This window comes from Homo sapiens, chromosome 2 (genome assembly GCF_000001405.40).
Source record: "Homo sapiens chromosome 2, GRCh38.p14 Primary Assembly".
In the NCBI taxonomy this organism is placed as follows: Eukaryota; Metazoa; Chordata; class Mammalia; order Primates; family Hominidae; genus Homo; species Homo sapiens.
Window position 1 is genome coordinate 189,070,422 of NC_000002.12, and position 12,562 is coordinate 189,082,983.

At 35.2% G+C, this 12,562-nt stretch overlaps 1 protein-coding gene across 4 annotated transcripts in view; it reads right to left on the reverse strand.

Moving 5' to 3' along the window:
* Positions 1-12,562, reverse strand: part of COL5A2 (collagen type V alpha 2 chain) — a 409,214-nt gene that overhangs the window by 38,524 nt on the left and 358,128 nt on the right. For all 4 annotated transcript variants that reach the window (XM_047443252.1, XM_011510573.4, XM_047443251.1 and 1 more), the window contains 6 exons: positions 10,569-10,622; positions 9,557-9,610; positions 8,642-8,686; positions 8,095-8,148; positions 4,972-5,016; positions 1,619-1,672 (listed from right to left, as the gene is read on the reverse strand). In XM_047443252.1, the coding sequence (XP_047299208.1) occupies positions 1,619-1,672; positions 4,972-5,016; positions 8,095-8,148; positions 8,642-8,686; positions 9,557-9,610; positions 10,569-10,622 (306 nt within the window). The remainder of the gene's footprint in view (positions 1-1,618; positions 1,673-4,971; positions 5,017-8,094; positions 8,149-8,641; positions 8,687-9,556; positions 9,611-10,568; positions 10,623-12,562) is intronic.

Here is a 12,562-nt window from a genome sequence, read left to right on the forward strand (position 1 = left end):
ATCCTGTCCAAAAACAAAGATCCAGGAATTTTATGGTGGAGAGAAGCAAGAAGGAAAACACAGAAAATTTCTAACAGAAACAGTTTTGCTAGATATTTGAGTTTTATTGAGCAGTTTTCAGTAGCCAACAACCAGTACCACAAACACCCAGGAGGAGAGAGAAGTAACCAGAGTGAATGGTTGTGTAAACTATGATTGCTAGTGAAGTTAAAGTAAACCCCATGAAAGTTGTAGTATAAACCTCTTTCTGCTAATTCATAGATTTGTGAGTATTTCCTTAACCAGAACTCAATTTGGGGACGGAGGGTCTCACAAAAAGAGGGAAGGGATTTTGCATGTTTTGATAGGGGTATATAGAGAGTCTGGGCCAGAGTCTGTGGTAGTGACATTATTAGGACTTCAGGGAGCAGATCAGATTCAGAGGAGAACCCAACAAGATCCCACCCACTTGAGTTCACATTGAGTTCTCAGTGAATGCAGGGAAAGGAATTAAGGCACTATTTTAAAGCAGCGGCATCCCCATAGCACAGTGTTTGAATATGTCATTAGAGAGAGCCTACAGAATAATTTGACTTGGTGATTCTCACATTTTCAAGGAATATCTGAAATGTCAGCTACAGACATTTTTCTTCTGGTTTGTTTCTAAGTTTAAATCCAATTTGAGTAGCACAACTAATAAGAAGCACGAACTTACATTGAGGGTGTCCTCTGCATAAGGCCCTATGTGATGAGTTTACATAGATGGTGTCACATAATCCTCAACAAAATTCCATGAGAAAACAAAGTTTAGAGGGGCCAGGTGACTGTCCGTGACCGCAGTCATTTTTGTACAGCATAATCTTGTGCATAATCTCTTCAGGATTAAGAATGTCTTTGCAAAGGGAAACATGGCATCAGGGGAAATCAGATGTGTTATATTGCTTACAATTTGAAAGAGGTGTTCTGAATTAATTCACCAGTTTATCTAATGTAATCCTAATGTCCTTCTACTGTCATCCTTGAATTTATCCCAAAGTACTGAGAGAAAGAACCAATTGTGATTCACTACAAATATTAAGTCATCCCACAGAATACTTTAATCCATTCCCACATGAAGAGCCAAATATTCTCCGTGCCCACTCCTTTAATGGCTTCATAGAATTGGATTGTGGAGCTGGGGGAGTGCAGAGTGATAACAAATGTTAGGTGAAAATGTTAGATGCCTTTTGACAGCATCTAATTTATTTTAACCTCCTAACCTCCTATTGTTTGGAACATTCTGCTGTTTATTACTTCCAGGTACTCTATTCAAGAATAGAGAATAGAGTTCCTATTCAGTTTAAAGCTCCTATTCCTTATAGTTGTTTTGACTGGCTGGCATTAGAGTCCTAACACATCAGGTTCTTTGATATTATAAGGGTACAATTATAAGTAATTCTCCTTTAATTATATTTATACAGTTAATTTTATTTTTTAATGTATCTTTTTCCATGTAATAATGAAAAATGAGCATACTCTAGGCTCTTTCCTTAGTTAAAAGTAACTTTCACACTTTTCAATTAATTAAATGTCATTCTTCACTTTGGGACTCATGTAATCATGTAGCGTTAAATACTGTATATTAACATTAACATCTTACCTTCATTCCAGGATTTCCTGGAAAACCAGAAGAGCCTGGTATCCCAAGAGGACCCTATTAAAAGAAACCAGAAAAGTAATCAGACATGTATTCAATTAGTATCTAATTAGGTCATTTTTTAGAGTTTGGCGTCATTTTGTATTAGACACATAAGAATAACCTGCCTTTCACTTTAAAATTACAAAGATAATAGGCTAATTTCATTATAAGTACCTTCAACATCAATCTAAAGTAATACTAAAAGACATATCCAAGGTATTAAACATAATTGGATTACTCAAATAGCATATAGGATTAAGTCAATCACAAACATAAAGTGTTTCAAACAATTGCCTCTTGAGAGATGTACTTTCTTTGTGTTAATCAAATAATATAGTTTTTAGAAAGTTATATTTTATATCAAAATCTAGTACTTCATTCTATAAAAATGATGCTTAAGAACCATCTGGAGGCCAGGCACGGTGGCTCATGCCTGTAATCCCAGCACTTTGGGAGGCCAAGGCAGGCAGATCACCTGAGGTCAGGAGTTCGAGACCAGCCTGGCCAACGTGGTGAAACCCAGTCTCTACTAAAAATACAAAAATTAGCTGGGTGTAGTGGCTGGCGCCTATAATCCCAGCTACTTGGGAGGCTGAGGCAGGAGAATTGCTGGAACCTGGGAGGTGGAGGTTGTAGTGAGCTGAGATCACGCCATTGCACTCCAACCTGCAGTCAGACTCCATCTCCAAAAAAAAAAAAAAAAAAAAACCATCTGGATATTTTAGAGAGGTTTTTCAGGCAATAAGTGGATATTTATGGATATTTATATTACCCTACATTTGGGAAGGCATGCATAGAATTTAAACCATTGATTAAAAGACTAAATTTAAAAGAAGTGAGTATAAAAGGAATTCTAGTACAGATTACTCTAACTCTAAGGATTGTACTTTAGTCTCATCAGTTTTCAATTAATAGAAGCCCTTTCAAAATGTACATATTTTTTCATCCTATGTTTTGTTTCCTACTTATGAGAAACAAGGGAGAAAAGATCCTTGGGGCAAATGATTTCAATTTCTATAATTATACTTTACTTTTGGCTAATAGCTTTAAATTTATTTTATTTTATGATCGTTCAGTCTTGGCCCACGTTGATCATGAATATTTCCTACAATACTTTCTCTCTTTCCCTCATAATATTTTCTTTTCTTGGTGTTTTGTTAGCATAATTTACCTTGTAGAGCTTGACTCAGTTTTTCCTGTTGCAGCAAAATAAAATTGTTCCATGGACTATTTATTTAGGAGCATTTTCAGTAACAACTTTGTGCTCAATTACTACATTAAAAAATGGCTATAGAAAACATTTTATAAATATATTTGTGCTATTACAAAACACCACTTCTTGGTTTCCTGCAACAGCTATCCACATTGATGACCCTGTGAAATCATCTGTAGAGCTTTAAAAAATACTGATTTCTGAGTCTACCTCTAGAGATTACATTTAAATTGGATTGGACATCAATATTTTTAAGTTTCCAGGTAATTCTAGTGTATAGCCAAAGTTGAGAACCACTAATTTCATGATGAACAGATAAAGTTTACTACATGATGCCTACAATATAAGTATGTACATTTTACTAGCAACCAGTGTTAATAATATATGAAATAATTTATTCTAGATATCATTACATCTTCCTTTTAAAAGTCAGGGCACCACTATTAAAGTCACATAATTTGATGGGAAAAGCACATGTATAATAAGTTGCTCTAAAGTTCAGAAAATAACTTTATGTCTTGAAGCTCTTTTTAAAAATTAAATTAGTTTTGTTTTGCTTGTAGAGATATAATTTAAGTGTCCTTGACTGAATAATAGTAGAGACCTTGATCCATAGCACTGTTACAATTAAAATCTACTTCAGTTCCACACATCTCTTAGGATCCTTTGTACCTCTGGGTAACACAGCAGTTAATGGGCAGCAATTGAGGCTATTCACAAGGGAGAACTATTGCAAGTAATGGAATTTTAAAAAGGTAATATGCTTGAAATGTGTCAAATTTAAAATATTTGCCTTTGTTTATAATTTACATTTGATTCTATGTTTATAATTTACAGATGATTCTTTAGTCTTAGCCATCTTCATTTCATCATCCACATTACCTGGAGATGATCTTTCTGGTCATAAAGTTCCTATGTTTAAAATCTCTGAATGATCTCACACTAATTATTACAGAAAAGAGCTCAAAAACCCTTTAAATGGGTAAGTAAGTATAGCCCTTTATGATCTAGATCTAGTTATAAGTATTCAGATTTTCATCTTCAAGCGTGAATTAAAGGTTCATAGTTACAGAGGATTACCTATGAAATAGTGCAAGATGGTCTGAAGCAAAATACAATAGCCTTGTCCATACCAAGCACAAAAAAGCACAATGTACAAAATATTGGTACACACTGAGACCTCATCATTTCTCATTCCATGTTACATTTTTACTCCCACAGCTGTATTTATTGCCTGTATGTTAAAAATTTCCAAAACTACATTTGAAATTCAAATTTCTATCCTGAGCTCCACTCTTGCATATCTAATCACGAAATTGAATTCATTTATTCCCATTCTAAACTCAAACCCACAAACGGTATGCTGTTCCTCTTTCTTTATTTCCAATTTCAGATAAATTACATCATCCATCAAACACTTTAAACCAGAAATCTACTGGGCCATGCCCATGAGAGTTCTTAGCTCATTGACATGCAGTCGGCCTCTGTTACTACCATAATAACTTTAGTTCACATCTTTGTAATTTCTTTCTGGAATTATGCCAGTGGTATTCAAACTCATTCTTTATTCTTAGCCATCTTCATTTCATGTTCAACATTACCAGCAGATTATCCTCTGGTCATAATGTTCTTATGTTTAAAATCCCTGAATGATCGCACATTAACTACTATAGAAAAGAGCTCAAAAACCATTTAACATGGTAAGTATAACCCTTCATGATATAGCTCTCGCCTCTCAATCCAATTTTACCTTCCTAGAATTTTCTGAGCCCACTGTGTTTTGTCATCTATCTATCCTATGGACAATGCTATATTCTTGCCCATTTTATATATTAAATACTTATCTTTCAGGACTTGGCTTGAAAGTTGTTCCCATAACTGAAGTTGTATACTGTATTATGGAGTTAACAATTATGTTATACAACAATATTAATATCTCTCTCTTCCTTAATAGAACAGTTTTGAAGAAGTACTATGTGTCCATCAACTTTTTATTCCAAGTGTCTGGCATGTGGTGAGTGCTCTGTAAATGTTTTTGAATGTACAAATGGAAGAATGCATGAATAAATTAATGAATTAATATGAAAATAATATAACTCACCATTGGTCCAGGTTTTCCAGGCATACCATGTGCACCTCGTTGTCCCTAATTAAGAGAAAAAGAGACAAGACAGGATAAGATTACATTTTAGACTATATTTTCTCTTATTTGCCTTATAAAAAATTTCCATATTGCAAATTGAAGAATAAATATTAAAGTTAACTGACAATAACCCTCACTCAGTTAATAGCAATATAAATACATTTACACAAGCTGATATGGTAGTCATAAATGCATCTATCCTTATAGCAATAAGCAATAAAATCAAGATTGAGAAAATGAAACTGATTAAAATGATTCTTTTACTTTAATGTATCATCTTCTAACATATGAACTCAGAGACAATGAAAATTTGAACACCTCAGTATTCTTAATAGCCAGATTAACTCAGAGAAGCAATGTCCAGAAAATAAAATACACAAGAGAGATAAATTAAGTTATAGTGAATTCTGTAGGTTTCACCCAGAGCTCCCTTAAGTACTGAAGTATTCATCCTGCCAGCTGGAAATATAACCTGCTGATGGCTCACTATTGATACATTCCCTAGGAATTGCCCTCAGCTAAAGGGAATTAGCTCTCTCAAGACTGTGCTCTTTCCTTGGTCAATGCAGGGATACAAAGCATTGGCCCTTATTTGACACAAGTCTGCAAGAGCCATCTCAGCTCCATAGTTCCCCTGAAATTGACTGAGATCTCTGTTGCAATTGCAACACAATTCAATTTCTCCCTCTGAAAAACCCTGCTTTTATTCATTCCTTCCTTCAAAAATACAGTTTCTAAGAGCACTCACCAATAAATTTCCTGTACTGTATACAAGTCACTTTTTTGAGGCTGTTTCCTAGGAAACCTGACCTAAGACCCTAAGACCATTAATGTCAGAGTGGTTACAAGAAAGCAAACTCTAAAGTGGGATTTGTAAGCTGGATTTCCCACTGGTCAGCTGGTGACAGTTGGAGTATGAATCACCCTTGGCATGCCGCGATGGCACAATGGAAAATATTGTCACCAATGGTGAACAGAGATATTTTAAGGGAATGGGCTAGTAATGCAATATCTCGGGCATTTGAGAAGAATTAAGAAAATAACAATTATAAAGCTGATGGAATTGCATGGGTCTTGTATAGTGCATCTATTGGAGAAAGACACTAAAAGGCTGATGGTGATAAATCACCAAAGTAAGACTCCTTGGCAGCATTTTATTTTAATTCTCATCTGCAACCAGAGAGAAGAAAAAGCTGAATATCAGGCCAAGCACAGGGCTTAATGCAAGACTATGAGAGCTCTTGGGATGGCTGAATTCTCAAACCTAGAAAGTCTGTTATGTCACAGTCAGGGTCCTGGATTGGGAGGAGTCGGATTCTGAGATTTGGCAATAGGATATGTGGGTCAACACACTGAAGAACTTCAGCTGGGCCCGGTGACTCATGCCTGTAATTCCAGCACTTTGGGAGGCTGAGACAGGAGGATTGCTTGAAGCCAGGAGTTTTAGACAAGCTTGGGCAACAATGTGAGACCCTGTCTCTACAAAAAAAATTAGCCAGGAACGGTGGCATGCACCTGTAGTCCCAGCTATTTGGGTGAGAGTATCGCTTGAGCCCAGGAGTTCAAGGCTACAGTGAGCTATGATTGTGCCACTGCCCTGTAGCCTGGGCAACAGAGTAAGACCCTGTCCTCAAAATTTAAAGGAAAAAAAAGAAATTTAAAATCTCAGGTCCATCTAAAGTCACTTGGCCTAGAGAAGTGGCCCATTCCCCCCATTAATAGTTGGTAGTTCTCTCTTGTTGAAGATGATACCTAAGCCTCTAATTTGGAAGACAACTTAAGCCTCACTTCTGGACACCACACCAATAACTAACACTACTCCTGATTTTTTAAAAAGATATCATACACCAAAGCACCTATAAGACCTAAACATCGGGTAGAGGCGGGATCTGAGAAAGAATGTATGGGTCTTGGTCCTGAAGATACTGTATCAAAAAAACAGAATACAAAGTTGGAAAATTTTAATGATGTGGATACACTGTCTCGTGATATTGCAATTTAATACCCTGGTAAGAACCCTGAGAAATAGTGCTGACATGGGAGACAGTTCTTAGAAATGTGGGAAGAGCAATAGCCAATGCTGGGGCAGAAATGTCAGACCTCCCTTGGCAGACAGTAGAAGAAAGCACAGAGAAGTAAGCATACTATATTGATAGACGATGTTAGCCTAGATAAGCCAATAGCTGACTATATTCTATAATATTCTCTATATCCCCTTAGGACACTCTGCTTACTAAAGTGATAAAGAATGGCCTGGTGAGAGGGTCTTACACTTTCCAAATCAGGGCCCTGAATTTGGTATTGTTGAGTAGCTCTGAGGTGGTTGTCCTCTATGGGCTGGAGGTAATAGCAGAGACAGTGTAAACCCGCTATTGCTAATAGTAATGGGGATGATCGGATCTTGAAATAATAGAGGAAAGGTGGCAGTCCTTAACTATCTAAAGCAAGGTAGGTCCAAAGTAATGAACTATAAGTCTGAAATATTAGTCAGCATAGCCTGATCTTCAGAGAATTGCGAAAAGAATAATTAGAATATGCCTCCTATACAGGTTCAAGTTACATAAATAGTCTGCAAGAGTATTTCTCAATCTGTATAATTAAAATGAATCAAGGACAGGTGATCAGGAGGCTCACATCTTTCAAAGAGTGCACTCAGAGTAACCACCTTTTAGGAGTATGAGGAACATAAAATGCTTGGAAGAATTCTTGGCATATAATAAGCTCTTGATAAATGTTTCCTATTATTGTAATTTCATTAGTATATCCAAGTTTGTGTTTTTCTATGGACTATATTCCATGCTGTTATATGTATTCATTATTTTCTTAATTTTTGTATTAAAGTAGATGACAAATGTACTGTGGCTATATGTTAACATTAAAGCAAAGGGAAGGTTGTTCAAGAATTCTCTGTACTTTCTTTTCAACTTTTCTGTAAACCTGACTTTATTCCAAAAGAAAAAGAAAAAAAAAAAAGGTGACCAGTACTATTACTTTCATTTAAAAGGCAAGTTCAGTAAACCAAATCTGAAAATGAATTGAAATACACATCTCAGCAGTATAAGTAAAAGCAGATATACTTACAGGAGCACCCTGTGGCCCAAGTCTCCCTCTCTCTCCTGGCATTCCCCTCGGACCCTATAGACGATAGAGAAGAAATGTCTCTTGAAGCACCTAATTTGAAATGTAGAGTAGTCTGACTACCCCACTCAATCCAATTGAGATTCAAGATAATTGGCCACCAAGCAGTAGTATTTCCAGGGGCAATGTTGGGTTTGAAAAACTATCCCCATGTGGAGATAAATAACCTATCACCTCTTACATAAATAGATTTCACTTAACCTGGCTTTAATGGGCTAAATCTGCGATAATCTTGATTTGATCACTGAGTATAGAAAAAGAATAAGGGCATTCAACCGTTAAGAGAAACAGTGAAATGTGGGAAACCTTTTCTGTTAGAAGGGCTCAACTCTCCTGTGCTTGTCTATCAGCTGGTAATCAAGATTATTTTACTAGCCAACATATGTTGTCCATTTATTTTTATTTTTCATTTAAAAATTCTCTTGTTGTAATCTAAAAGGCAAGGAAATATAACCTTAGAAATTTAAGAAACAAGAAAACGAGCACATACCAGAGGACCCATGGCACCCATTGGACCAGTGGGGCCAGCTTCACCCTAAAAAAAAATGAGAATACATTACAGTATGAGAAGCCTACAACCGATACATCACTTTGTTCTGTGTGTGTAATTTTAAAAGCATATTTTCAAAGAGGACATATGAAAGATGTACTTTTGATATAGGATCTCAGAATGTTGTTTTATTACCTCTTCTCAAAATGCAATAGTAGTGTAGTTTTAAAGAAATACATCTAAAATAATATTGGGGACTTAAGATTGACGGAAACTATCATACCTAGCCACAGTAACTAGTCTCAGGAAAGGACTTATCTGGCTATGTCTGATACGTCTCAAGTAAAACTTTACAAAGCTAAAATTGATTGTAACACTATCTTAAGATCTATTCTAGGAGACTTAGAAATAAAAAAAATTTTAAAGCCAAATGATTTTCCACATTAGGTCATGATGCTTTCCACTAGAAATTCCTTTATACTTCCTTGATGTTTTTTCTCCCTGTAGAAATACAAATAAATTTTGAGAAGAAACAATGAGGAGAAGGTCTTGGTATTAAAGGGGTACTCAATAATGGGACTAATGAACTATCTAAACCTTTCAGATATTTTTTAAAAAGAAAAATGAATGATTGTATTTTAAAAGATAGATTCATAGTGCCATCTTCATATGAAGACAACACTCATCCTACACTGGCAGACACCCAGTGCTATGGAGGCTATTCTTGGAGGCATATCAAGTCATGTCATGGTAAAGCCATTGCCACTCATCTTTGAAAAATTATGTTTATTTACCTAACCATTTGTTTGTAGCCCTCTCTCCTGCTGAATTAAGGTGGTTCTGAAAAATGTGTAAACATTTGAAGCAAAACTAAGATGCCAAAGTGAGGTTACAGTGAGATAATTATAAGATTACCTTGGAACCAGGTGCTCCAACTTCACCTTTAGGGCCTTCAAGACCTTTGTGTCCCTGAGAATAAAAATGTAAATTTGTATTTGTATCCTGTTTTTTTCAATCCTCAAAGGCATAAGAACCAAAAATAAGCTTGCAGAAATTGCCTTATAAAAATGAATATCAAATTTAAAGTTGTTGCTCAAAATACTTTCAAATTCTCAAACTTTTCTGAAAGCTTATTCAAGGAAAATTAGAGTTTTCACCTTTAAATAACATTTTCAGCTTGCAGTGTTCTCACCCTTCAAACACTTGTGACTTCATAGAAATTTAATCTGTAGCTACAAATAAAAACCTTACAGTGGCTTTAGAGGAAACACATAACTACAGAGTTCATATTGTTATAAAATATCATTTGTATTCAAGGTGAATGTTCAAAATACTTAATAATGAGTATAGCAGCAGACATCTTAATCAAAATCTCAACTACTCAAAACAGAGGCCAGTGTATATTGATTGAATATCACTATTTGATATTATGATAGTTAGATAGATGATAGATTCTACATATGTAAACAATATATAATAGTTACATCGTAATTATCTTCAGTAATAAGGAAGGCATTCTATTGCTTTCCAAGTCTAGGTAGACTGGGTCCCTTCTGTGACCTAGTACTCTCTATCTCTACCATGTCACCTATTACACTATACAGGAATTGCCTACCTTTTCATCCGTATCCCCCATTAGCCTGAAGCTTCAGGCTAGAGATTTTTCTCATTCATCACTGTACCCTCTTTTGTAGCATAGTGTCCAGTACATAGTAAGAATTCAAAATATATTTCTTTATCAAATCAAATTAAACTCAAAGGAAATGTATTAAAAAATTGTGATTTCAGTAACCACAGATGAATACTGCAACCATAGACAGTTAAGGACAATTGACAAATTGACTTGTAAAGATTTTGAAGGTAAATCTCCCCAGAGCCTGTTCACTAAACCACAGTATCTGAGAGGATTACAATAGATTGAACTTACTCGGTGACCCTTCAGACCTGGAAGACCAGGAGCCCCAGGAAATCCACGAGCTCCCTGGGAGGAAAACATAGATAGGGCATTTTACAGTCATTAATAAGGATGCAAAATTCCTTAATATATCATTTTTTCCCAAAAAATAGCTAGTACACAGTTTTCCAGCAACATATTAAGAAGAACAAAAAAAAGCAGTATACTTTTATCTGTCAAAATATATCTGGGTGATCAAAATTAGCAAAGTAAATATGCTATTAGAAATGGAAACATGACTTATACAAGGATACAAAGTAATGCCAGGTATTGAGTTCATGACATTTTGAATTTTTCACATGATATCACTGTGTTATAATTAGTAGTGAAAACAAAACAAGAACATAAGCATGAATCAATATGTCCAACATGAGAATTGACTATACCAAGGTAGAAAAAAAATATTCAGGAGAGAAATTCAAGATAAAATATCCTTTTCCTTCTTTATTGTGCTTTATTTATGGTACACGATTAAATGTCTTTGTAGCAAACCAATGTCTTTATTTTCTATGAATTTCTGAATATTGGCAGCAGAATATGATGGGAAGAACAGTATTATAATGTGGTCAGGAATTTTTAAAATAAATTGTTTAGAAAAAAACTTTGTGGATTTATGATTATTTAAAAAACTAAATGAATAAACAAAATATCCAACAGAAAAGAAAGTCAAGAAATATGAGAATGCTTGGTTTCTTGACTAAATAATTACTTAATTTCTGCAAATTCTATGTAGCTTTCACCTAAACACATTAAATAAAAAACAATAGAAATACCATAGAAAATCAAATCCAGTGGCACAACTATTTTGAAATGATGCTTGAAACTTTTTCCTTATACTGTCTTAAAAGATACTAAGCTAATGACTTAATTATTTACTTATTATTATGGCCTATATTAATTTGATTTTGCATTGAATTGCCATTACCACTGCCGCCAGTATATTGAGCACCTTGATAGCATTGATTGATGTGATCACTTATTGATTATTATTCTTAATTTATGTATAGCTGGCACTTAGCCTTATGTTTGGTTAATGGACATTCAATGAATAATCACTGGATAAACAACTAAATAAAGAAATGGTTTGATATTTCTTACTCTCATAGCACTTTAACCTTTCCTAAGGAATTTCTCTTGGCCTAGCATGATCTTATACAGATAAAAAATCCTTCTGCTCTGCAAATCATAGGTTTCATTCACTATTTCTAAATGGTTGAATAAGCAACTCAATGGATGAAATTCATATAACAAAATCAAAGCAATAATTCGTCTGTGACCTCTTGAAAGAAAATTATTTCTTTAGTGTTTTAGAGGGTTATCACAGTAGGGGTAAAACAAATCATGCTCTCTGAACAAATGAAGTCCCATTAATTCTTCTGTTTACACAACCCCGCTCAAGAATTCTTTCACATCAAGAACTCCCTTTAAGTGTTCAACTTAATGCCTCATTTTACAGAGATTTGTCTCCTCTCCATCCTTAGCAGGCAACTTAGTGCAGACCCGTCTAAGCCTATAGGGGAATTGCTGAGCTATGTTATTTCAAATAATTAGTTAACTTCAGTTTTTATGGTCTGCAAGAGAAATTCTCATGTGATTACATATCCCTAATGTAACAAGAAAATGAACCAGATGTCCTAATGCTCATAAAAATTCTCATTCTGCTGACCCAGGACTGTCATTACAGTGCAATCACACATTGCACTGAGCTTGCACAGTGCATCTGTGGTGTGCTGGCAGGGCACCCTTCCTCCCCATGGAGGGCCCACACTGTGAGCATGAGCAAGAGTGCAGCAGGACATGGGAAGTTCAAACCTGGATGGGTTGAAAAGGACATCTGTGCTAATGACTAAACCTCATGTCTCTGTCTGCATTTATTTCCCAGGCTGATCGAGGAGGAAAGAAAGCAGGGAGTTGGGAAATTGGTTTATATTTGCAACCAAATAATCCTTTGAGCCTTGCAAATTTCC